General features: G+C 42.6%; 1 protein-coding gene and 1 long non-coding RNA gene across 2 annotated transcripts, besides 3 other annotated features; both read left to right on the top strand.

The window, feature by feature from the left end:
• Window positions 3131-3410: an enhancer, noted in NCBI's record as "active region_28515". NCBI's record gives its function as "activates an Ori minimal core promoter by ATAC-STARR-seq in GM12878 lymphoblastoid cells {active_cell/tissue: GM12878}" and the evidence as "EXISTENCE:reporter gene assay evidence [ECO:0000049][PMID:35858748]".
• Window positions 3531-3680: an enhancer, noted in NCBI's record as "active region_28514". NCBI's record gives its function as "activates an Ori minimal core promoter by ATAC-STARR-seq in GM12878 lymphoblastoid cells {active_cell/tissue: GM12878}" and the evidence as "EXISTENCE:reporter gene assay evidence [ECO:0000049][PMID:35858748]".
• Window positions 3531-21523, top strand: ISCA1 (iron-sulfur cluster assembly 1). The gene is made up of 4 exons (NM_030940.4): window positions 3531-3691; window positions 11827-11880; window positions 13957-14062; window positions 19878-21523. Exons 1-4 carry the CDS (start codon window positions 3611-3613, stop codon window positions 20024-20026), a joined length of 390 nt encoding a protein of 129 aa, NP_112202.2. The 5' UTR covers window positions 3531-3610; the 3' UTR covers window positions 20027-21523.
• Window positions 3851-4150: a silencer, noted in NCBI's record as "silent region_19996". NCBI's record gives its function as "represses an Ori minimal core promoter by ATAC-STARR-seq in GM12878 lymphoblastoid cells {active_cell/tissue: GM12878}" and the evidence as "EXISTENCE:reporter gene assay evidence [ECO:0000049][PMID:35858748]".
• Window positions 3988-7852, top strand: LOC124902194 (uncharacterized). The gene is made up of 2 exons (XR_007061634.1): window positions 3988-4100; window positions 4616-7852. It is a non-coding gene; the product is annotated as an uncharacterized LOC124902194 (long non-coding RNA).
• Window positions 21524-26411: the final 4888 nt, after the last annotated feature.

The following is a 26411-nucleotide window of genomic DNA, read 5'->3' as shown; positions in this document are numbered from 1 at the left end:
CCAGCCTCGGCGACAGAGCAAGACTCCATCTCAAACAACAACAACAACAACAAAACTCTTGCTCAATGTGTGCAGGATCAGCAGTGTGCAAAAATGTTTTTAAATGTTCTTAGATAACTTCAGTGTATTTTTCTTCTTGAAATATGTTTGACAAATGGCTTCTACTTTTAAATCTTTCCTGAGTGGAAAAGATCCTGGATAAATACATCAATAGAGTTCAGTGTTACAAGCAAAAATATACACACACACGTTGAAAACAGAATTTATCAAACCCCTGTAAAACTGTAAAGCCCTCAGTAGTTTTTTCTTTGGAAGCAGGCATATTTGGACAGCAGCAGTCAAGAACTACATAGACTTTCCACTGAATGGAACTCTAGACTTAGACAAGGTCTGGCCCACCTCGTTTTCCAGCTGTGTGGCAGTCCCCTAATCTCAGGCAGTTCAGTTTCCATTCCTATAAAATGGAAACCATTCTTGGCTTTCCACACAGTTGTGATAATCAAGTGAGGTCTTACCAGGAAAACACTTCTTTAAATGTCTAGAACTATGAAACTAATGCCTGAAGTGCGGGGTGAAACAGTTCCCTATTGCAAGTTCTGTCACATATTAGTGGAAATCTAAAAGTGGTTACAGCTTGTAACTCTTTTGACACTTCCCATACCCACCTCATTTTGACACCACTGGACAGCTGCTGCTCTGAGATAAGCTCACATACTGCTTAAATAATCGTGAAAATTATTTATTCTAACATAACATTATTTCAGGGACTTGTGCCAGTTTCAAGTGATATTAGAAACTAACAAGTAGATTATGTGACTTAATGCTTATGTGCAAAACAACTAACCAAGTTAAAAACTGAATAGTGGGGTTTTCTTTTTTGTTTGTTTTTGTTAAATAGTGGGTATTAAATAGAGGAAAGAAGTCTGTTAAACATACACAGGATCCTGAATCAGAAAATTGAGGACTAGATGTTTTCAATAGTGTCTAATGCTCTCTACTAAAATCCTTGAGTTTCAGCATCTGTAAAACTGCCATGCCAGTGCTTCTGCCCTACTCAGTTCAAAGTTGTGAGGCTAGTATGAGATAATATAATATGCTCATGGAGTTTTCTGAATCTTGTAAAGTGCTGCACAACTGTGTAATGTGTCAATAACTGAAAAAAAAATGACAGCATCTTTTATTTTTATTAAATTTTAATTTTAGGGCTGTTTTAGGTTCACAGCAAAGTTAAGCAGAAAAACAGAACTGCATATATCCCTTGTTTCCACATGTGCCTCACTGTCACTCTGCACCACAGTGGTACACTTGTTACAATCTTAAACCTACATGGACACATCATTAGCTCTCAGTGCCCATAGTTTACCTTAGGGTTCACTCTTGGTGGTGTACATTGTGTGGGTTTTGACAAACGCATAATGATATCTATCCACCATTATAGTAGTTTCACAATACATGGCATCTTTAAATACTCATTAACAATTACCATTTGAGTGAGGCTGTGTGCCTTGCACCCCTCTAAGGGCTTCTCCTGTATTAACTCATTTAATCTTCACAATATCTGTAGGAGGGAGGATATGAGATCCCAAACCCCCAGGTAGTCAAAGATGAAGGCCAAGAAACAAACCCACCACACCACCACCTCTCTATGTCCCTCCCTCCCTCCCTTCCTCCCTCCCATCACTTTTTCAGTTTCTTTCTTTCGAGATGCAGTCTCGCTCTGTCACCCAGGCTGGGGTGCAGTGGCGCAATCTTGGCTCACTGCAACCTCCGCCTCCTGGGTAGCTGGGATTACAGGTGCCCGCAAACACGCCCGGCTAATTTTTGTATTTTTAGTAGAGACGGGGTTTCACCATGTTGGCCAGGCTGGTCTAGAACTCCTTATCTCAAGTAATCTGCCGGCCTCCGGCCTCCCAAAGTGCTGGGATTACACGTGTGAGCCACTGCGCCCGGCCCCCAGTTTCTTTTATTTTCTTTCTTTCTCTCTCTTTCTTTCTTCTTTCTATCTGTCTGTCTGTCTCTCTCTTCCTATCTTCCGTTCTTTCTTTTTTTTTTTGAGACAGAGTCTCACTCCGTTGCCCAGGCTGGGAGTGCAGTGGCACGATCTCAGCTCACTGCAACCTCCGCCTCCCAGGTTCAAGCGATTCTCCTGCCTCAGCCTCCTGAGTAGCTAGGATAACAGGTGTGCACCACCACACCCGGCTAATTTTTGTATTTTTAGCAGAGATGGGGTCTCACCATGTTGGCCAACCTGGTCTCGAACTCCTGACCTCAGGTGATCTCCCCGCCTCGGCCTCCCAAAGTGCTGGGATTACAGGCGTGAGCCACGCGCCCGGCCCCCAGTTTATGTGCAGATAAGGCTTAGGGGAAAAAAAAAAGCGTCCTCTTATTGTCAATGCGATTGCATTTCTGTAGCAGGAAGTCAGAACTACTTGATGGAATTTTGAACTATCCTTTCAGAAACTGCAGGAGATCGAAGATAAACTTGGCTTTAAAAAATGTTTCACTGATTAGTTCTTCCCACATTCAAACACTGCGAATCTGTCCTCCCCAGGACTGCTTCATAGACCCCTCCTGCCCTTTTTCCTTCACTTCTAGCACTTCAATGACAAATGCCACCTGTCTTGATGTCCTCCTCTCTTCATCTGCTAGCCCTGTCCTGCCAGTATCTCATTCTTCCCTGGCCCCTCTTTACCTGGCTTCCTGTGTATGCCTGGGTACCGCGCCTGTGCAGTGTCTGGTGCTCAGGAATACTGCATCAAAAGGCAGAATTAAGCCCCTGAGCAGCCAGGACAAGGTCTGACAACACGTTTTAAATCGAGTAATTGTTGCTCGCTATAAATGTGACTATTCACACTGCTGCCCAGTCACATTTTCAAGTAGGGTTGGTTCCCAGTTCAGCACCAGAATGAAAACTGCATTAGTCACCACCCTTCAGCATCCCCAGCAGTACAGCACGCTGGGGAGAAGGGTGGAGGGTGGCGATTATACAACTCTGCGGTAACGCCATGCTCTTAAGAACAGCCTAATTGGACCACAAAAGAAGAATGAAAATGGATGTAGATGTCTGGGCATCGGAACGATCACTCTGCATTTGAGAGCATAAGCTCCCAGTGCAGGGTTGACTTATGCGTCCTTAAGTGTCACCGCCTATGATGGTGTTTGTCACGGTGAGTATTAAAGCAGGGGGTGACGCTGCACCTTGCCCCGGGGGCAGGTGGTGAAGCTACGTGCATCCGGAGTCAGCAGGTCTGAGGTCATTCCTCGCCCCCTCCCGCCCGCTCCCCGACGTCACGCCGACTCCGTCCTCGGCGGTGAAGACATTCCTCCCGGGCCCTGCGCCCTGCAGCGTGGTAACCCCACTGCCGGAGACCGTGCGCAACCCAGCTGCTAGACCCCCGGCGTTGAGCGGCAAAACCCCGCCCCGAGCGGCTTGCCCCGCCCCCGGCTCGTCACTCATGCAACTCACCCAATGGTGGCGGCGGGGGGCGGGGCTAGGACTGAGGGCGCCGTGCGCCGAAGCTTGTGGCGTCAATGCGCCCGCCGTGTCCATGGAGAGAAGCTGAGGCGGCCGACCTTCGGCCCGAGGCACCGGGGCGCCGGGACGGCGAAGATGTCGGCTTCCTTAGTCCGGGCAACTGTCCGGGCTGTGAGCAAGAGGAAGCTGCAGCCCACCCGGGCAGCCCTCACCCTGGTGAGTGCTCGCGGCGCGCGGCGGGGCCCGTGACATTGCTCGTGTCCGCCCCGTGCAAGGGGAGGTCACGGCGGCCGGGAGTGGGGCCGCAGGGACGCGGACACGTCAGACCTCGGCGTCGCTCCGACCCGCCGCACAGCCTCGCCGCCTCCTTCGCCTCCGGCCCCTCTTTGCAACGATAAACAAGTCCCGGGCGGGGCTGCTCTCTTGGCCCCGGAAACTACGTTTCCCGTCAGGCCGCGCGGCAACCGCGTGCGGGCCGGAGGGGATCCCGGGGGTGGGCGTCCCCGGGGGCCGATCGCCTCCACACTCCTGCCGGCCTGCGCTGTTCGGCCGTTCCGGTTAAGCAGAGGCTGAACGTGCCCGGTGGCGGGGGTTCCCGGTGGTGGCCCGGAGTCCTAGCCTGGAGGTGCGTGGGGTGGGGAGGGACCAGGCTGTCCGAAGGACCGCTGTGTCGGGGCGACAGCGTTCGCAGAGGGCGAGCACAGCGACAACAAAGCCCCCGGCTCCTGCCGAGGTCACGGCCGCGGCGCGCAAAGCGTTACTTGCCGGTGTCCTGGGTGATTGAGGCCTTTGAAACTCCCTCTGTGCCTCTAGCAAGCCTAGGCTCTTAGGACAAAAGATGATTTCCCAGAGTGAGTTTACAGCCTTTTCTGGGTGAAAGGTCAAACACTCAGAGGGCACCAGAGTGCAACCATTGATTACTTAGAGAATTCACTGAGCTCAGTGTTCCGGCCGCACCGTTCAGTTTTTTAGTGGAAGGAAAATCCACATAACATAAAATTAGTCCTTTTAAAGGGTACAATTCAGTGCCATTTAAGACATTCACAGTGTCGTGCAACCATCACCTCTATCTAGTTCCAAAATACTTTCACCCCAAAAGAAAAATTTATGATCACGTTCCTACATACACTCCCCTTTTAGTGAAGGAGACGACTTTATGCAACCATTCGCTTAGAGACTGGGAAAAAAAACGATTTAAATTGACTCATCGATTCTGTTGCATCTAATGCCAAAAGGGCCTATTACCAGAAAATAAGTTTGTAGCAAAGTAGAAGAAAATTGTGATCAGGTGAGAGAATTTATTTTTATAATCAATTTTTTAGGCCTTTGATATTACCCTGATTATATATGGTACTACTAGTGTACTGATTATGTATCATTCTATATTACCTCTTTTCTGTAGGAGCAAGCTTATTTTCATACACCGTGGGATGTAGAATTAAACAAGGTTTTAAGAACTAGAGGGCACAACTCATTCTTTGTGTCTCTTTCAATCTCAGTAAGAATTATTCAGAATTCTTCCACTGGTAATGGTAGATCCAGGAAGAGCCAGAAGGTTCAGGAACAGTTTTTGCCTTTTCTTTTTTGCTTTTTAGCAACCCTATTAACTGGGTTTTTTGTTTTTTGTTTTTTGTTTGTTTGTTTGTTTTTGTTTGTTTTGTTTTTGGAGACAGGGTCTCACTCTATCTCCCAGGCTGTAGTTCAGTGGTGCAATCATGGCACACTGCAGCGTCAACCTCCTGGGCCCAAGCGATCCTCCCACCTCAGGCTCCCAAGTCGCTGGGACCACCGGTGTGCACCGTCATGCATGCACCTAGGGTCTCCCTGGGTTGCCCAGGCTGGTCTCGAACTCCTGGGCTCAAGCAGTCCACTGCCTCAGGCTCCCAGTGTGCAGGGATTACAGGTGTGAGCCACCATGCCTGGTCCCTGATGTCTTTCTCCATCACCATTTGACATGTTACCTCTTCCTTCAGAATTTCTTTTTTTTTTTTTTTTTTTTGAGACAGGGTTTCGCTGGGTTGCCCAGGCTGGAGTGCAGTGGCGTGATCTCAGCTCACTGCAGCCTCTGCCTACTGAGTTCAAGCAACTCTCTGCCTCAGCCTCCTGAGTAGCTGGGATTACAGACGCCCACCACCATGCCCAGCTTATTTATTTATTTATTTTTGTATTTTTAGTAGAGATGGGGTTTCACCATCTTCACCAGGCTGGTCTTGGACTCCTGACCTCGTGATCCACTCGTCTCAGCCTCCCAAAGTGCTGGGATCACAGGCATGAGCCACCGTGCCTTGCCCTTCCTTCAGAATTTCTATGTCAGTCCCTTTCTCTCCATTCCTAGTCATTCAGCAGACATTTATCAAGATCTGCTGTGTTTCAAGACAAATGAATGAGTTATACAGTTCCCAGCCTACGGGGCACAGTCGCAGGCCAAGCCTTTGCCACCTCTTACTAGGAGTAATAGCACTGCACATTCTCAGGCTTGGTCTCTCTCCACACTTGCTCCCCTCTGCTTCAGTACATGTTATCATAGCAGTTCTCAAGGTATCCATGTTGCCTGACTCAGCTGTTTTGATTAACTTGCAGGAGTCTACTGTCTGTACTCTGTTGTCCTACTTAAGTATGGCTGACTTTAGAAGCTTCTCAGAAGCTGTACCAGAGAGAAGGCACATCAATGCTGTTTTCCACACAGCCTGTGTTGGTGGGCTTGCAGTCATTTTAGTTCCAGCATTCGTGCCCTAGTCAGGACACTATGGCATGTATTGCTCTTTGTGCTTAGTTTATCATCAGCATGTATCGTCAAGTGCAAAAGTAGTGATGCCGTCAAAGGCCTAATGAATGGAGACAGATAAGAGAGCAAACAAAAGTATACGTAATTCAGTAAAACTGATTGGAAGAGGTAAATGTTACTTGGGTCTAATAAGTAGAGACAGATAAGAGCAAACACAAGTATACCTAATTCAGTAAAACTGATTGGAAGGGATAAATGTTACCTGGATATATAAATTTTGATGTTAGGAATTTGACATGTTGCAACATTTGAAAAGTGCTATATGTGTGGAGTCTACCAGATGTCAACAAAAGGCTAGGAAAAGTAACTGATAATATAACACAGTTCAATGCTGTCATTATCAGATTATCTACATCTTCCCTATTTCCCTACATATCTAGAAATTGACAAGTGGAATTGAACTTGCAGGAGCCAGATGTGATTAAAGAATCTGAAGAGTAAATAGTGCCCTGCTTGCAGACAGATTTATTTCCATCATTGTACAAGTCAGAGCAACTCTAATTTGTAGGACTGGGGTGGATCACAGCTGTGCATTAAAACTCAACCAAGTTCTATGAGAGAATGATGGTGCACAGCCACTATCATTCTTGATGAATTCATTGTGTACGGAAGGTGCCTTAGGGCTTAACTTTCTATTGGAGTCCAGTTGAGAAGCTAGGAAATGCTTAATGCTCAGTAAGGAACTGTGTGTTAGTTCATTGGACTAGAACCAGAAGTCCTTTTGAACAGTGACCAAGCACTAAGATTTCTATACGAAGGCAGTTTAGGAAATACTACACAAGAAGCACTGGAAGTAGCCTAGCAGTCTAACAGTGAAAGAACGGTTAAGTACGTGAGAGTAGATCCTGTTGGTGAAGGATGTAGTCATTGTAAATTATGGTTTTTTTTAAGTTTCAGCGTTATAAATCTTCATTCTTTGACTTATGCTGTGCAAATTATTTAATCTTTAATACCTAAATCACAATGGCAGGAATAAAAAGATGTTACGTTTAAACCATTAAACACTTAGAAGGTGCTCAGTAAATGGTGAATATATGTTTATTACCATGTATCAAATGAAAAAATAATTTGTTAAATTGTTTCAATGGAGGCTGCAAAATTATGTATATATGCCATGATTACAAACCTTTTTCTTTTTAGAGACAGGATCTTCCTCTGTCACCCAGGCTCATATGCAGTGGCATGATCATGGCTTACTGCAGCTTCAAACTCCTGGGCTCAAGCAATCCTTTCACCTCAGCCTCCCAAGTAACTGGGACTACAGGCACATGTCACCTTGACTGCTAATTTTTTTTTTTTAATTTATTGTAGAGACAGGGTCTTGCTCTGTTGCACAGGCTGGTCTCAAACTCCTGGCCTCAAGCCGTCCTCCCACCTTGGCCTCCCAAAGTGCTGGCATTACAGGCATGAGCCACCACACCTGGCCTACAAATATATATTTGTATATTATATGTATTTTGGATGTGTATATACACATATACACAAATAAGAAAAGACAAAAGAGAATGCTTTTGTCTTTTCTTATTTTGACACTCTAATGCCAGCCATGGCTGTTAAAGAATGATTTTAATAAAATACACTGTACTTGTTCACTGGCTCTATTTATTTACCATCTTTTGTTCCCCCAGAAAATTGATATGTTGACATTAAAATGCCATGTTTGTAGAGAAATTAAGTTGTAGTTGTTGGCACATGTTTAGTATGCATAATCACAGAGTTAACTTTAGCTTTGAATTTAATTTAATTTTCTTAAACAGCAAAAAATGAAAATTGCCTGGGGAGTTACTTAAAGAAATACAGGATTGAGAATGAAAAGTTTCTCCTACAAGGATTAGAAAGCGTGTTGCTATGAAGTAGTGATAAAACATTCATCTACAATGCCTTTTCCCTTAATTTTAACAGCGGAAACATCTTGGAAATATATTTATTTTTCAATTAGGCCAAAATACCTTACCTCAAAGATAACCTCTCACTTTAAAAGTCATATTCCTGTGATTTGCATGTGAGTAAAAACCATCATATTTTAGTGGGCTTCAGGAAGCTCTTAAATTTTAAAACATGGGCCAAATCTCAGGTAAGCTATATTCATTAATAGTACATAAATTTCTTGAGAATTACATGTTTCTTAGTTGTTCTGGGAAGTGCACTGGTACTGGCAGGCTGCTAGGCCCTGCAGCATGCTGTGTAGTTGAAGATTTTATGCTGTTTCTCACATGAATTTTACCTAAGCACAAAGTTGCCAGAGTATGTAGACTTAAAGCAGGGTAGGATTCTTAGCCTCTCCCTGGTACTGAGACACAAAAAGTACCTCTTATAGCTCGATTTTTTTTAAGTCCCAACTCTTCCCTTTTAACCACTCTCCCTTGTTCTGAAAATCAGATCAGTCACTTTGAAAGTTCTAAGAACCTTTTCCCTTGGTTGAGTACTGACCTGGGTTGTCCATCATTAGTAACACCCTCCCAGTGGAGTAGGTTTGGTTTTGGCCTGGCACAGGAAAATTAAGACATATTTTAGTTCCTGTAACAGCAGCTTCCCAGGCACACAGGTTCCTGTTGAATGTTACTTTTCCCTTAAAGAGTCCTTCAGTATGAGATGTGAACATCAGCAACTTGGTGATAAGTAGACCAATCCCCACGAATTGCTTTCATTTACTGTATTTAAGTGTTTCCTGCTAAAAGTTGAGAAAATAAGAAAATAGATGACTTTGTAAAACCAAATTAGATAATTTAGAAAACCACTTGGAGATAAAAAAAATTATATATTTGGGGCTGGTAAACGGAGTAGTGTGACAGACACATTTGTTTTGTTTAGATCATGCAGTGGTGTGCCCATCTGTGCCTTTGATCCACTCAGATTAAACCAAGACCACGTTTCAGATTTTAGTTCCCGCGGATATTTTCCATGGCTATGCCTTTTTTTTTTTTTTTTTTTTTTTTTTGAGACAGAGTCTCACTCTGTTTCCCAGGCTGGAGTGCAGTGGCATGATCTCGGCTTACTGCAGCCTCCGCCTCCTGGGTTCAAGCGATTCTCATGCGTCAGCCTCCGGAGTAGCTGGGATTACAGGCGCATGCCATCATCCTCAGCTAATGTTTGTATTTTTAATAGAGACGGGGTTTCACCATGTTGGCCAGGCTGGTCTCAAACTCCTGACTTCAAGTGATCCTTCCACCTTGGCTGACCTCAAGTGATACTTCCACCTCGGCCTCCCAAAGTGTTGGGAATATAGGCATGAGGCACCAGGCCCAGCCAGGCTATGCCTTTTTAAAATAAACTTACAGAAAGCTATTTTTATTTGACAGTAAGTGATTAATTTCTTCAGCATGCACATAGGAAAATATGGTGAAAATTTACATGTGGTTGATAAGAAAGCTAGCTTTTATTGACAATCACTTAGAACAGGGGTCCCCAGTCCCTGCGCTACAGACTGGTACTGGTCCATGGCCTGTTAGGAACAGGGCCTCACAGCAGGAGGTGAGAGCAGCAGGCAAGCCAAGCATTACCACCTAAGCGAGCTCCACCTCCTGTCAGATCATCAGGGGCATTAGATTCTCATAGGAGCACAAACCCTAGTCTGAACTGCAGGTGTGAGGGGCTAGTTTGTGCACTCCTTATGAGAATGATGCCTGATGATCTGTCACTGTCTCTCATCACCCCTAGATGGGGCCATCTAGTTGCAGAAAAACAAGCTCAGGGCTCCCACTGATTGTATATTTTGATGAGTTATATAATTATTTCATTATATATTACAATGTAATAATAGAAATAAAGTGCACAATAAATGTAATGCATTTGAATCATTCAGAAACCATTCCCCTTATCCGTGGAAAAATTGTCTTCCACGAAACCAGTCCTTGATGCCAAAAACATTTGGGACCACTGCTTTAGAAGGGTAATGAGCACTTTAAAAAATAATAACTATTTCTGTAACTATTTAAAGTTGGTATTCTGTGACTCAAAAAACAAAAACAAAACCATAATCCTGCTCTTCCCTGTTTTCTCCTTCCACCCTGTGTGCTACTTCCTGCGTTGGAGGACTGCATGCCTCCTTTTCTGACAGAACCATGGGAAACCATGGGCCTTTAGAGGCCCACCTACTGGTAGTGGTTTGTTTTTTTACAGTGACATGTAATAAGAAATGTATATACACAGATACTATATATTAATAACTGAATTAAAAGTTTTACTAAACAACATTCACGTTTTTAAGTGCAGTGCATTGTTTTCTATTTAAAATGTTTAAGACATGTTGGTCTTCACATTCCAAATTGCTTTCATGCCCTTCTAAACTGGGTCTGTACTGTGTTTAAGCATGCTCATCTAGCTGAGCCCCAACCCCGACAGGGCAGGAGAGCACACTCTAGGGCCATCCATTGGGCTGGCTCTTCCAGGTGTCAGTCCTGGCCTCAGTTTACTACCAAGTCTTAGGTCGTAATATCCAGACTTTGAGACTTCACAAGCAGTCTCAAAGACTTTACTGTACAGTAAAATGTCAGTACAAGGGACTGGAGGGCCTGCAGAGCACTGCCAGCTAGAGGAGCTGATAAAGTAGGAAGGACGCACATAATGTCTTCATTATGATGTACTCTCATAATCATAATAATACTTGGTATTTTTGTGCCTGGCACTGTCCTGAATGCTTTCCATGAGTTTAAATATTTAATCCTCACAAGAATCAGGAGGAGGAGGAACTGTTATCCCTGTTTCACCAGTAAGGGAATAGAAGTCAGAGAAGCCACTTAGGGTGACTGCCCTGGAGGCACAGCTAGGAAGTGGGCCAGGAATGTCGGGGAACAGTCTCCTTCCCAAAGAAGTGGGGTTGGCAACACCGACCTATTTCACACAAACTGTGATGTTTTTCTCATTTTGAGGCCCGCTGAGCTATGTTAAAACAGCATTTCTCTGGGAAACAGCTCCTCCTTGTTCTTATTTCTGTCATTGACTAGCTTAGTTTTGTTCATCTAGATCTCCTGAGATGTTGGTTTAATCCACGTTGAAAAAAATCTATGTGAGCATTTGGTGGGACTGGTGCAAGAAGCACACCCTGGGTTATTTTATGCTGGTAACACTGTTTCCTCAAGCTATGCATTTTGATGGATTAGAAATGGATTGTGAGTAAGAAAAAAAAAAGCAGTAGGATTAATAATCAACAGGAAAAACACCTGAAGGTTGGCCTTCCCAGTGAGATACTTGATTCCTTCATTGGCTCTTTGTCGTAGGCAACATGCTGGTTCCTGGGCATAGAGTTGGTGCACAAAATAGATGCTGCCCAGAAAAATAGCATTTGTAATGTGAGTGAATAGCACCATAGAGAGAAGGACAGGGAACCAACCTGGACTGAGGAGCAAGATTAAAAGGATGTTGCTAGCAGATTTTTTTTTTAAATAAAGAGGATATTTTGAATTAGGTATAGTTTATGTGTTTCTATATAAAGTCCATAAGGTACCCTGGCAAGAATGGAACATAAATTTGTCACATGAATTTGCTAAAGACAGACTTACGAAGACTGATAAATATGAGGCTTTGAATAACAAGTTTTGTAGCTAAAAACATCATTTTCTTTTTTCAGACACCTTCAGCAGTAAACAAGATAAAACAACTTCTTAAAGATAAGCCTGAGCATGTAAGTAAAACCAGTTAATTATTCAGTAAAAAACTGAAGCTGCATTTTCAGAATGAATTTATCCCATGATATACAGTATTATTTCATTTAGGGGTTTTTATTTAAAATGTAAAATATACTCAGGATTTTTAAAAAATTCAAATAATACAAAAGGGTATTTAACTAAAAGGAAGTCATTCTTTCAACCTGACTCTTCGTCGTCATTCTTCCTTCCAAGAAGCAATCTCTTTGGTATCCTTCCAGGGATAATGTATACATTTGAAGCGGCTAGACCTGATTTTCTCAGCCTCCTCACAGTTGACACTTTAGGGCAGATTGTAGAATGTTTGACAGCATCTGTGGCCTCTGTCCATTAGATACCAGTAGTACCCCCTCTTTGCCTCAACCAAAGAATCCACATATGTGGAACCCACCGATACGGAGAGGTGACTGTATAGAGTAAAAGTATGGTGAGTACTATTTCACCAGCAGTTCCTGATTCCACAAAGCTTTGGTTGTCACAACCAAAAATGTCTCCCTGAGGGCAACCACTGGCCTAGACTGGGCTTGTTATTCCTGTGTATATCTCTTCCTACCATAAATTTTTTTGTTACACTTTGCTTTTTACCCTTAATAATGGCTTGAAGATCTTTCCATGTCATTATGTAATGATCTGCCTCCCTTTCTTGGCTGCATGTAGAGTATATTCCATTGAACAAGTTTGAGTTCTTTAACCAGTCCCCATATTAAAGGGTCGTTTTCATTCAGTGCTGCCGCAAACACCATTCAGCAACTATTTAGTGTCTGCAGTGTGCCAGGCTCATTGTTCTAGAACTGTAAGCATGGCTTAGTCCACCTACATAGGATCCATTCCTAGATACAGAATTGTTGAGTTAGGGATGTGTGTATCATCTTAATTGTACATTGTTAGTTGCCGATGGAATGCTGTAAATCATTTCAAGTAATGGATTGCAATATTTAATAATTAGACGGTGGGGTGATTTCTGGTTTCTGTTGTTAACCTACTACATTACAATGTAATGGAAGTTCTCAAACCTACCTTTTAAAATTATTAAATTTCAAAGGATATCAGTGTTCTGATTCAATTTGGATAGACCGATGAGTAGACTACAAATTGGCCTAATGAAACAAGAATTCGGCTTTGTAGAATCAGGAACTGCTGGTGAAATAGTACTTATGATACTTTTGCTGTATACAGTCACCTCTCCGTATCTGTGGGTTCCGCATACGTGGATTCAATCAACCATAGGTCAGAAATATTTGGGAAAAAAATAGAAGGTTGCATCTGTATTAAACATGTACAGACTTTCATTCTCTAAACAATACAGTATAACAACTGTTTATGTAGCATTACATTGTTACAGGTATTCAAGTCCTCCAGAAGTTATTTAAAGTACAGGGGAAGATGTATATAGGTTATATACAAATGCAGTGCCATTTGCATAAGGGACTTGAGTATCTGCAGATTTTTGTATACTCAGTTAGTCCTGGAACCAATTTCCCATGCATACTAAGGGATGACTGTATTTAAATGAAAAATCAGCTCAGCTCTAAGACAGAGAACTTAGGTAGATACTGTTTGAAAATTGCATTAATGTAAACATTGATACTTTTAAAGTGCTGTTTGGTCACTTTTTTAAACTTCTTTTGTCTGTATTGACTGCAGTCTTTTGCTTTCTGGTATTTGAGACTGTACACAAGTCTGCACTATAATTCAGATCCCATGTAGAGGTAGGATTGCCAGATGGTGGACTATGAACCCTGGTGAATCCTAACCATAAGGAAACATTCAGAGGATATCTCACAGAACAAGGTAGAGCAAAGACATTTTAAATAAAGTCCCAGGCTGGACGGGGTGGCTCCTGCCTTGTAATCCCAATGCTTTGAGAGGCCGAGGTGGAAGCGTTATTTGAGTCCACGAGTTTGAGACCAGTCTGGGCTACATAGTGAGACCCTGTCCTACAAAAAATAAGAGAAAGTCCATTTTGGTACGAGGAGGCTACTGTCACTTTATTAGTATAATTGTTTAATCTGTACTACTTTAAAACCAAGTTTATATTTTCACTTCTTTTTCAGGTAGGTGTAAAAGTTGGTGTCCGAACCAGGGGCTGTAATGGCCTTTCTTATACTCTAGAATATACAAAGACAAAAGGAGATTCTGATGAAGAAGTTATTCAAGATGGTGAGTTTTTAACAAACATTTTTTGGGCACATTGTTTTGCCTAAAATTATTAGCCTTGCACAGCACAAAGTAAAAAATAAGGATAGTAGCAGGAATTATGTAAATAATGCTCACTGTGTGTGTAGGTGTTGTTTGATGGAATTTCATGTATTAACTGATTTATACACAATGCTGAATGTGGGTGGTACCATATTATCCCTGTTTTTCTGATGAAGAAACTGAGGCACAGAGGGGTTAAATAGTTTAAGGTCATAATAAGTGGCCTAGTAAAATTCTTTCCAGAGACTGCTCTTAGTAACTAATTGATAAATTATTATATAAGCTTGTTTTAACTATGAAAGATCATCGTTGTGTCCAAAAAGTGAACCAGCCTTAAACCTCACAGTGAACCAACAGTTTTTGTGTAAGCAGTAGTTTTATATCTGTGTCAAATAAGTACGAGTTGAGCATTCCAATCCAAAAATCTGAAATCTGAAATGCTCCCAAATTCAAAACTTTAAAAGTGGGTGCTGACATGACACTCAGAGGAAATGCTCATTGGAGCTTTTTGGATTTGGGATGCTCAAGCAGTAAGTATAATGCAGATACAGTCATACATCACTTAACATTGGAGATACATTCTGAGAAATGTGACGTTAGACAAATATCCTGGGGTGTACTTAGACAAACCTAGACGGTCTGAGAAATGTGACATTGGACAAATATCCTGGGGTGTACTTACACAAACCTAGATGGTAGAGCCTACCATATGCCTCAGCTAGATAATATAACCTGTTGCTCCTAGGCTACAAACCTGTACTGCACGTGACTGTGCTGAATACTGTGCACAGTTCTGACACAATGGTAAGTATTTGTGTAAACGTACCTAAACAAAGAAAAAGTATAGTGAAATTTCTTTTATTATTATTATTATTATTATACTTTAAGTTTTAGGGTACATGTGCACAATGTGCAGCTTAGTTACATATGTATACATGTGCCATGCTGGTGTGCTGCACCCATTAACTCATCATTTAGCATTAGGTATATCTCCTAATGCTATCCCTCCCCCCTCCCCCCGCCCCACAACAGTCCCCAGAGTGTGATGTTCCCTTCCTGTGTCCATGTGTTCTCATTGTTCAATTCCCATCTATGAGTGAGAACATGTGGTGTTTGGTTTTTTGTCCTTGCGATAGTTTACTGAGAATGATGATTTCCAATTTCATCCATGTCCCTACAAAGGACATGAACTCATCATTTTTTATGGCTGCATAGTATTCCATGGTGTATATGTGCCACATTTTCTTAATCCAGTCTATCACTGTTGGACATTTGGGTTGGTTCCAAGTCTTTGCTATTGTGAATAGTGCCACAGTAAACATACGTGTGCATGTGTCTTTATAGCAGCATGATTTGTAGTCCTTTGGGTATATACCCAGTAATGGGATGGCTGGGTCAAATGGTATTTCTAGTTCTAGATCCCTGAGGAATCGCCACACTGACTTCCACAATGGTTGAACTAGTTTACAGTCCCACCACCAGTGTAAAAGTGTTCCTATTTCTCCACATCCTCTCCAGCACCTGTTGTTTCCTGACTTTTTAATGATTGCCATTCTAACTGGTGTGAGATGGTATCTCATTGTGGTTTTGATTTGCATTTCTCTGATGGCCAGTGATGACGAGCATTTTTTCATGTGTCTTTTGGCTGCATAAATGTCTTCTTTTGAGAAGTGTCTGTTCATGTCCTTTGCCCACTTTTTGATGGGGTTGTTTGTTTTTTTCTTGTAAATTTGTTTGAGTTCATTGTAGATTCTGGATATTAGCCCTTTGTCAGATGAGTAGGTTGTGAAAATTTTCTCCCATTTTGTAGGTTGCCTGTTCACTCTGATGGTAGTTTCTTTTGCTGTGCAGAAGCTCTTTAGTTTAATTAGATCCCATTTGTCAATTTTGGCTTCTGTTGCCATTGCTTTTGGTGTTTTAGACATGAAGTCCTTTCCCATGCCTATGTCCTGAATGGTAATGCCTAGGTTTTCTTCTAGGGTTTTTATGGTTTTAGGTCTAACGTTTAAGTCTTTAATCCATCTTGAATTAATTTTGGTATAAGGTGTAAGGAAGGGATCCACTTTCAGCTTTCTGCATATGGCTAGCCAGTTTTCCCAGCACCATTTATTAAATAGAGAATCCTTTCCCCATTGCTTGTTTTTGTCAGGTTTGTCAAAGATCAGATAGTTGTAGATATGCGGCGTTATTTCTGAGGGCTCTGTTCTGTTCCATTGATCTATATCTCTGTTTTGGTACCAGTACCATGCTGTTTTGGTTACTGTAGCCTTGTAGTATAGTTTGAAGTCAAGTAGCGTGATGCCTCCAGCTTTGTTCTTTTGGCTTAGGATTGACTTGGCGATGCGGGTTTTTTTTTTGGTTCCATATGAACTTTAAAGTAGTTTTTTCCAATTCTGTGAAGAAAGTCATTGGTAGCTTGATGGGGATGGCATTGAATCTATAAATTACCTTGGGCAGTATGGCCATTTTCACGATATTGATTCTTCCTACCCATGAGCATGGAATGTTCTTCCATTTGTTTGTATCCTTTTTTATTTCATTGAGCAGTGGTTTGTAGTTCTCCTTGAAGAGGTCCTTCACGTCCTTTTTAAGTTGGATTCCTAAGTATTTTATTCTCTTTGAAGCAATTGTGAATGGGAGTTCACTCATGATTTGACTCTCTGTTTGTCTGTTATTGGTGTATAAGAATGCTTGTGATTTTTGTGCATTGATTTTGTATCCTGAGACTTTGCTGAAGTTGCTTATCAGCTTAAGAAAATTTTGTAAAAGATCAAATGTGGTCGGGTGTGTTAACACAAGCCTGTTGTCCCAGCTACTCAGGAGACTGAGGCAGGAGGATTCCTTGAGTGTAGGAGTTCAAGAATGTAGTGCACTGGCCAGGCGTGGTGGCTCACCTGTGTAATCCCAGCACTTTGGGAGGCCGAGGTGGGTGGATCATGAGGTCAGGAGTTCACGACCAGCCTGGCCAACATGGTGAAACCCCATCTCTACTAAAAATACAAAAAATTAACTGGGTGTGGTGGCACACGCCTGTAGTCCCAGCTACTGGGAGGCTGAGGCAGGAGAATCGCTTGAACCCCAGGAGGCGGAGGTTGCAGTGAGCCGAGACCATGCCATTGCACTCCAACCTGGGTGAAAAAGTGAGACTCTGTCTCAAAAAAGAAAAAAAGACATCATAGTGCACTGTGTTCTTACCTGTGAATAGCCACTGCCCTTAAGCCTGGGCAACATAGCGAGACCTCCATCTCTTAAAAAAAAGAAAAAAAAAGGAAGAAGAAGAAGAAAATAAAACATGGTACACCTGTTTGTGGCAGTTACCATGCATGGAACTTGCAGGACTGGAAGTTGTCCGCGTGAGTCAGTGAGTGAGTAGGGAGTGATAAGTGAATGTGAAAGCCTAGGACGTTCCTCCGTAGTACTATAGACCTTATAAACCTTGTACACTTAGTCTTCAATAATAAATTAACCTTAGTTTACTGAAACTTTTTTACTTTGTAAGCTTTGGGGTTTTTTTTTTTTTTTTTGACTCTTTTGTGATAACATTAGCTTTGAAACACATTGTACAAATAACAAAAATTTTTTACGTTCTTATTCTATAAGCTTTTCTCTATTTTTAATTTTTTCTTTATAAACATTTTAATTAAAAACTAAGACAAAAACACACGTATTAACTTAGGCCTCCACAGGGTCAGGTTCATCAATATCCCTGTCTTCCACCACCTCCCCTCATCCCATTGGAAGGCCGTCAGGGGCAGTAACACTCATGGAGTTGTCATCTTCTGTGATAATGATGCCTTCTTCTGGATACCTCCTGAAGAACCTGCCTCAGGCTGTTTCACGGTTAACTTTTTTTTTTATAAGTAGAAGTACACTCTAAAATTTTAAACAATAAAAAGTATAGTAAATACATAAAGCAGTAACATAACCATTTATTATCATTATCAAGTATTATGTAGTGTACATAATTGAACATGCTTAGACTTTTATATGACTGGCAGTATAGGTTTGTTTACACCAGCATCACCACAAACACCTGAGTAATGGGTTGTCTTGTGATATTATGGTGGCTACAGCATTGCTAGGCAATGGGAATTTTCAGCTCCATTATAATCCTTTTTTTTTTTTTTTTTTTAATTTGAGATGGTCTCGCTCTCTCACCCAGGCTGGAGTGCAGTGGTGTGATCTCGGCTTGCTGCAACCTCCACCTCCCTGGTTCAAGCGATCCTCCCACCTCAGCCTCCCAAGTAGCTGGGATTATAGGCGCCCACCACCATGCCTGGTTCATTTTTGTATTTTTAGTGGAGCTGTATTATCAACTCATGTTTTTGAGGAATCCTGTATTTCCAATTTTTATTCAAAGCTATTTATTATAATTTAATTTATAATTAAAATTAATTATATTTGCTGCTGCCCCCTTCTTCCACCCTATAATCTGTTAAAACCTATCTAAAATAAATAATTTATCTTGTCATTGGAAGTATGCACTTAGCTTGCAGTTCTTACCTACATGGGAGAATGAGGCCTAGATTCCTAAGTGTGCTTTCTTATTAAACTAAAGTTATAACTATCAATAAAGACCTTTTAAAAATGTATTATTTTAAAAATTATAACACATTATAAACCTTAAGATTTTCATCTTAAAGAAGAGGTGACTTAATTATATATTGTTTATATTTAGCTAATGGCTCAATTTCTTGTAAGGAAGAAAGTTTTTTTGTTGTTTCGTTGTTTTGTTTGTTTGTTGAGACAGAGTCTTGCTCTCTTACCCAGGCTGGAGTGCAGTGGCACAATCATGGTTCACTGTAGCCTCTGTCTCCCGGGCTCAAGCAGTCCTCCCACCTCAGCCTCCCGAGTAGCTGGGACTACAGGTGCCCACCACTGTGCCCGGCTAATTTTTGTATTTTTAGTGGAGCCAGGGTTTTGCCCTGTTTCCCAGACTAGAAAGCTTTCTTAAATTGATTGTATTTGTTGGCTGGGCACTGTGGCTCACACCTGTAATCCCAGCACTTTGGGAGGCCGAGGTGGGAGGATCACTTGAGCCCAGGAATGCAAGACCAGCTTGGGCCACGTGGTGAAACCCTGACTCTAAAAAAATTAGTTGGTCCTGGTGGTATGTGCCTGTAATCCTGTGGGAGGATCGCTTGAGCCTGGGAGGTGGAGCTTGTGGTGAGCCATGATCATACCACTGCACTCCAGCCGGGGTGACAGAGTGAGACTCTGTCCAAAAAAAAAAAGATTGTATTTACAAAGATGCTGACCTCTACCTGTGTAATTACTAGGGAATAGTACCTGTTTTCCGTCCTGTAACCAGAAAAGACTATTGTTGTACTGATTGATGTTATTAAAATAGCCCCATTGTATCACAGTCCTTTGTACATCTTTAAGCTTGAATCCGTGTATCTAGTGTATTGCAGAATTTTCATAAATTTTTTTTTATTTCATAAAACTCATCGAGAATATACATTTTCTTCATGTTGCAAACTGGAAAAATGAGTGAAGTATAGTGAAAGGTAAATTCTAATTTTGCATAAAATTGTCATGGAATTTACTTGTATAAAATTCTCCCCTAATGTGATTGTGACATAAATTCATGTGTGGGAAAGAAGGGGCAGACAGGAAACTGAATGCTTAATTCCTTAAGGAAATAATTTAAAATGTTCAAGGCTTCTTGTTTGACTTTCATTGATAGTCACTATTTCAAGTTCACTTGTGCTTTGAATCAGCAAGTTCCATAAGGCTGCAGGCTTTCCATGACACATGTTTTCTTTTCTCCAAGGAGTCAGAGTATTCATCGAAAAGAAAGCACAGCTAACACTTTTAGGAACAGAAATGGACTATGTTGAAGACAAATTATCCAGTGAGTTTGTGTTCAATAACCCAAACATCAAAGGGACTTGTGGCTGTGGAGAAAGCTTTAATATTTGAAATCTCAGGACTCTTCTGGCCGTAGGTTCCAGGAAAGCTCGTGGAAGCTTTGGGGCTCACTGCAGAAATCATGTGACTGTCACGTGCTGGAAAATAAAGTGATACATCTTGAAAATGAATCCAGTGTGTTGGATTCCAGAAGAAATGATATTTATATTCTCTATAGGGGACAGAAAATGAGAAGCCATCACTCTTTTTGGATCATTTAGGTCTCTTGTATCCTTTGTTTTAGAACCAGTTTCATTAAAGTTGCCTTCCTGGGCACCTGTTTATCCATTTCCTGAACTGTGTGCACTCCTTAGATCGCTATTGATGGCTTGATCATCCCTCAGCATTTCTCCCAACCAGATCGGTGACTCCTAAAATCTGAGACAGGACATCGTGACTGCTGGTAGTAATATGGTGGTGCATTGTTTTTTCCACCCAAACTTAACATAGCCTTTTTATACATTTTTATGAAAAATTTCATTGTCAGCTGCCTCACTGCATACTCTTTAATAGTACCAGGCAAAGATTTTCTTCAACTATAGTACAGATTAGTTCTGAGTGATGGTATCAAAAGGTGAGAAAGACGTCATCCGCCTTTTTTTAATCCATTTCTTTTGCCACCCTATATGTCTGTTCAGAGATGGGCTCTCAAGCTGACTTTGATTCTTTTAGTTGAGAAGTCTCTTAAAGCCATCTAGCCCACCTCCATCAATTCCCTATGTGAGGAAGCAAAACCCCAGGGAAGCCAAAGGGCTCCTGTCCACCCTGACACCACAGGCCGGGGGAGAGTAGGGACTCTACCCCCCTCTCCCCTTGTAGGTGACACATGCTCTGCCCTCTGAGGCAGTCAGCGAAGGCAAATGGTCTGACTTCTTTATGTGGTCAACATTTTGATAGAATTTCTTTATAATTTGATAGAGATTATATTATTTTTATTTTATTTTGAGTGGGAAGAATTTTAAAACCTTTTTATGTCAATTACCATCTTGTTTCTTTCACCTTTGAAACAATGGTTTGTAGCAGAGATGACATTGTAGCAACCCAGAATTATGCTTTTGGAATGTGGTCCTCACTGTACAGGAGAATGTGTAATCTTTTGTTAAAATTCCCAGTGTGCATACATTTTCTGGTTCCTCGGTCCAGTTGCTAAAGTTCTTAGTATTTTAGCCTAACATATTTATCACCAACTTTTCTTTAAAAGTGTTCCTTTTGTCACTTAGTTACTGATTTTCCTGGGTTTGACATAAGTATTCTATGAGATGATATATATGCTTTTTTTGAAAGCTGATTCTCATGAATTCAAGTAGCTGAGTTCCTTTATGTTTCGTTTATTCACTAAAGTAGCTGACACAAAACACACCAAAACCTAGAGCGGTAGTTTTATGTAAATGCTCATGAGTTTGTATCAATAATATAATTGTTGATCCACTTATAATTCGTGCAACACTGTATGTATGTAGAGATTGAGTTGTCAATTAAAAAAAATGTGGCCTCTTTGTGATCATAAAATTGCCTTTTATTATTGAGGGGAGAGGGTTTGGGACAGCAGCTGCTAAAGCCAATAAAAAAATGACTGTCTTTTTTGCCTAGGCTGCCTGTCACCAGGCGTCCTCCCTACCTGACACTGTTTCGTCCAGAGTCCTAGCTGCTGATTCTCCACACAGCCCTGGAGAGACCATCTCAGGTGTCTCTCATCTCCCTGGCTTTGCTAGCCTCTTTTTCCTCCTTGTTCCCCATGAGGGTCATCCATCCCCCAAGCAGGTTCCTCATGTCCTTAGGACGAGAGCATTATCACTACCTGGAGTGCTTTTCCCTCTGTCATCTGAGCTTTTATGTGAACCTCCTCCAAGAAGGTTCTCAGCTGTTCACTCAGGCACAGTAGTGAGCACTGACTCTCCACTAGCCCTGAGCTTTCACAGGTCATCAAAGACAGTCCCAACCTCAGAGAGCTTCAAGTCGGCAAATGAGACACCAGCGAAGAGCATCGATCACCATGGTAAGTGTTGTGAGCAGCTGGTGGTGATGGCATGCTCACTGCATGCCAGGAAGTGTTCTAATAAACATCATCTCAGCAATCGAGAATGCAGGTCTGACTACTGTCTTTTTCATAGATAAACCAAAACACAGCTTAAATAAAATAGCTAAGGTGGCCAAGTCAGAATCGTACCCTGTGTCTATGGCTCCAGATGCTGTGCTCCCAGCTGTTAGGCCATACTGCGTGTCCTGATAGAACCAACGGAGTGCGCTTCTAAAAAGGTAGCCTACAGGTTATGACCCCTGCGCCTAGTTGAAAGAGATTTGGGGAAGAGGGAAGACAGTGAACAGTACTAAAGAGGGTTGAAAAAACACAGAGGGCGTGTTCTCACTCATAGGTGGGAATTGAACAATGAGAACACTTGGACACAGGGCAGGGAACATCACACACCAGGGCCTGTCGTGGGGGAGGGATAGCATTAGGAGATATACCTAATGTAAATGACGAGTTAATGGGTGCAGCACACCAACACGGCACATGTATACATAAGTAACAAACCTGCACGTTGTGCACATGTACCCTAGAACTTAAAGTATAATAAAAAGTAATAATAAAAACACAGTGAAGCTAAGCACTCCGGAGAATGAGGCCCGGAGAGGAGCAGTAAGGCTGGAGGGCAAGGTAGATGCCTGGGGCGTTTGGGCTTTCTGCAAGTTCTGTAGGCCTTGGGGCCACTGAAAGTGTTTAGGGGCACTCATTAGAAAATTGCATTTGGAAGTGTTTCCATGGCCTGGACTAGGCTGGCTGATGAGGACAGGAAGAAGCTACTGCAAAGCCCGCTATAATAGGACCTGAGCAGGGACCCGTGAGAGAAAGGCTTAGGAGGCAGAAAGGATGGTACTCTATCCGTAGCCCAACCTCATCAGCCAGTGTTCTGTGACTCATTTCTATTTGTACAGGCAGTACTTGTACTGTTCATTGGTTTTGGTTCTTGTCTCTTGTACAATATTGAAAGGATCTTGGAGACAGGAACGCAATTGCTTCTTCAGTGTTCGTTTAGCATCGGGCAGGTCAGAATTATTTTTGCAAAATGGCTCCATCCTACGGCCATGTCACACCATGTCATGCAAGCCTTAGCCCTCACCAGGAAGGTTCTGTCTGTTGCACCACATTCATCCACATTCTACTCACAAACACTGGTCATTGTGTTAGGCGATTTGGTAGTGCCCCTGGGTGATGTGTAGGCCAGCAGATCTGTCGCTTAGCAGCAGACTTCAGGCTTTTCATGATCAGTTATAAGCCCACTCTTCCACATCAGGATGCTAAATTGAATGAATCAGGCCATGAGGACAGAGGCCTGCTGTGCTTCATTGTTGCAGGGCGCCTCCCAGCCCTCTGTCACCGGACCCACCAGAATGATTTTTTTTTTCTCAAACAGGAAAGGGTTGGGAACAATCCCTACAAGATCAGATGTCCCTAAGATTTCCAGTATTTCCTAGGTTTCACTCAGCAGGAAATACCTCAAAAAAAAAATGGCCTTTCTTGTCATGTTTTGATACCTGAGAAATCAGGAAATGGAAAAGCCTGTGCTAAGCTGAGCTGTAAGCAACATCAGTGTCTCATTTGAGCCTTAGAGCAGACGTGGCATGGGCCAGACACAGCATCGACCCAGAATAAACCCAAATACAGCTCACCTGAGCTCAGTGCAGGCTGGGAGGCTGGCCTGGAAAGGTGTAGGTTTGGGGTGAGATATGCCTGGATTTGAATCATGGTTCCTGTCATTTTGTAGCCATGTAACCTTCTGTAAAACAGTCTCAGAATTTGGGGGGATGTGATGAGCTAACTACACATAAATGGCATCCTGCTAAGGGTAGACGTTTCATACGTTGTAATTCTTGTCCCTTTTAGCCATTTTCTTGTGCAAAAAGGGATAATATGTTAATGGATTATCAATCAAAGCAAGAGCTTAGGGAAAGAGTTTCAACACATTTAGGGAGTTATTGTCCCATATTCAAATCTGGGGGAAATTTGCTGTATTTCCTTCAAATAAAAGACCACAGTAACTTCTTTGAAAAGAACCATAAATTTCAAATATAAACATTCGGAGAAATTTCATTCTCTTAGTAGCTGATTAACTATAGACAAACCTGCCTTAATTGAGGAGCTGTTTTGAAAGCTCATTCCCCAGTAGGAACTCAATCTCCTGGTCCCAGGTGGGTCTCATCAGACAAGAGATGGAGGAGAGAGGGAGGTGCACCCTAGCCTCAGCCTCTATTGAAATACAGAGCCATGTGGTGGTTACATCACTGTGGACTCCCATCCTCCCTTGCTGCTGTGCAGTGTTCAGGGAAGGCTTCATTTCACACCAACCTTTAGCGGGGCAAGGGCTCTGTACCAGCGGTACTCAGCTTAAAACTAGCCTACTTTGAGGGCCTTGATGGGTTACTGCTTTTACTTCCACTAGCTAGTGATTCCGAAACTTTTCATGATGAAGTGCCCATTTATTGGGCCAGGTGTGTTGGCTCAAGCCTGTAATCCCAGCACTTTGGGAGGCAAAAGTGGGCAGATCACCTGATCCCAGGAGTTCAAGACCAGCCTGGGCAACGTGGTAAAACGCCGTCTCTACAAAAAATACAAAAATTAGCTGGTCATGGTGGTACATGCCTGTAGTCCCCGTTGCTCAGGAGACCAAGGTGAGAGGATCACTTTAGCCCAGGAGGTAGAGGTTGCAGTGAGCCAAGATCGTACTACTGCACTCCAGCCTGGATGACAGAGCAAGACCCTGTCTCAAAAAAAAAAAGAATAAAAAATAAAGTACTCATTTTTTGTTCTCCATGGATTCTATGTCTTGAAGCAGTCCTCAAACTTTAAGGTGCAAATAAGTCACCTGGGGGTCTTGTTAAAAAGCAGATTCTTGGCCGGGCGCAGTAGGTAGCTCACGCCTGTAATCCAGCACTTTGGGAGGCTGAGGCGAGTGGATCACTTGAGGTCAGGAGTTCGAGACCAGCCTGGCCAACATGGTGAAACCCCATCTCTACTAAAAATACACAAAAATTAGCCAGACATAGTGGTGGGCGCCTCTAGTCCCAGCTACTCAGGAGGCTGAGGCAGGAGAATCACTTGAACCTGGGAGGTGGGGAGGTTGCAGTGACATGAGATGGCACCACTGCATTCCAGCCTGGGTGACAGAGCAAAACTGTCTCAAAAAAAAAAAAAAAGCAGATTCTGTAACAAAGGTCCAGGGCAGAGCCTGAGATTCTGCATTAGTAGCAAAGGCCCAAGTGAAGCCAGTGCTGTTGCTCTGCAGAACACCTTTGAATGGCAGGCTTTTGAAATATTTTCTCATTGGAAGAATCTTCTGTATTTATTAAATTCTGCTTAAAATTATTAACTTTCTTGTATATCCATGTTCATAACAGCATTATTCACAATAGCCAAAAGGTAGGAACAACCCAGGTGTCCATTGACAGGGGACAGGGGGTGAGAAATTTATTTCATGGACACAGATTCAGGTGGAAAAGATGAAAAAGCTCTGGAGATGGAAGGCAGTGCAGGTGGCACAACAATGTGAATGTACTGAATGCCACAGAACTGTGTACCTAAAACGGCTTAACACGGTAAGCTTCATGTTATGGATATGTTGCCACGGTGTTCACAAGTTATTAACTCAATCAGACTATTTAAATGCCCAGTAGATTGCATTCTGGGGAAATGGCTGTTTCAGGAAAATTTTCAGTGATTGCCACAGGGACCTCCCATGGGTGGGGAATGGAGTCTGGAGCACGGCTGCATGGCTCATGGAGAGAATTTGCACAGCCAGGTAGCCCCTGGTCCACTTCTACCCATATCTGGCCAGGTGCAAAGAGCATAGCTGTACCTTCTATTATCTCTCTCAATTTCTTATTTGCACTTTGCCCATGTCTATAGAAGGAAAAACTTGACTGATTAAAAATTACATTCACGGCACCTGTAGTCCCAGCTACTCAAGAGGCTGAGGCAGGAGAATGGCGTGAACCCGGGAGGCGGAGCTTGCAGTGAGCTGAGATCGTGCCACTGCACTCCAGCCTGGGCGACAGAGTGAGACTCCATCTCAAAAAAAAAAAAAAATTATACTCACGCCAGCCTGGGCAACATGGCGAAACCCCATCTCTAGAGAAAAATACATAAATTAGCCAGGCGTGGTGGCGTGCGCCCGGGGTCCCAGCCACAAGCTGAGGCAGAAAAAAAAGTAGCTACTCAGCTACTCAATGTTCACTCTTTAAAAATGCTTTTCCATCATCCTCCACCGTCTCCCACCCCCCACCAAGCAGCAAGATAATTCCCCATCGCTTAGCATCATATAGCTGCTTATGTGACCTTGAGAATGTCCACATGTCACAATGGACAGTCACTTAACACTAAGCAATGACACATGCTAGGAGT

Source organism: Homo sapiens, chromosome 9 (genome assembly GCF_000001405.40).
Source record: "Homo sapiens chromosome 9, GRCh38.p14 Primary Assembly".
Classification (NCBI taxonomy): Eukaryota; Metazoa; Chordata; class Mammalia; order Primates; family Hominidae; genus Homo; species Homo sapiens.
Note: the sequence above shows the minus strand (reverse complement) of the source record. Positions and strands in the feature narration are given on the sequence as shown.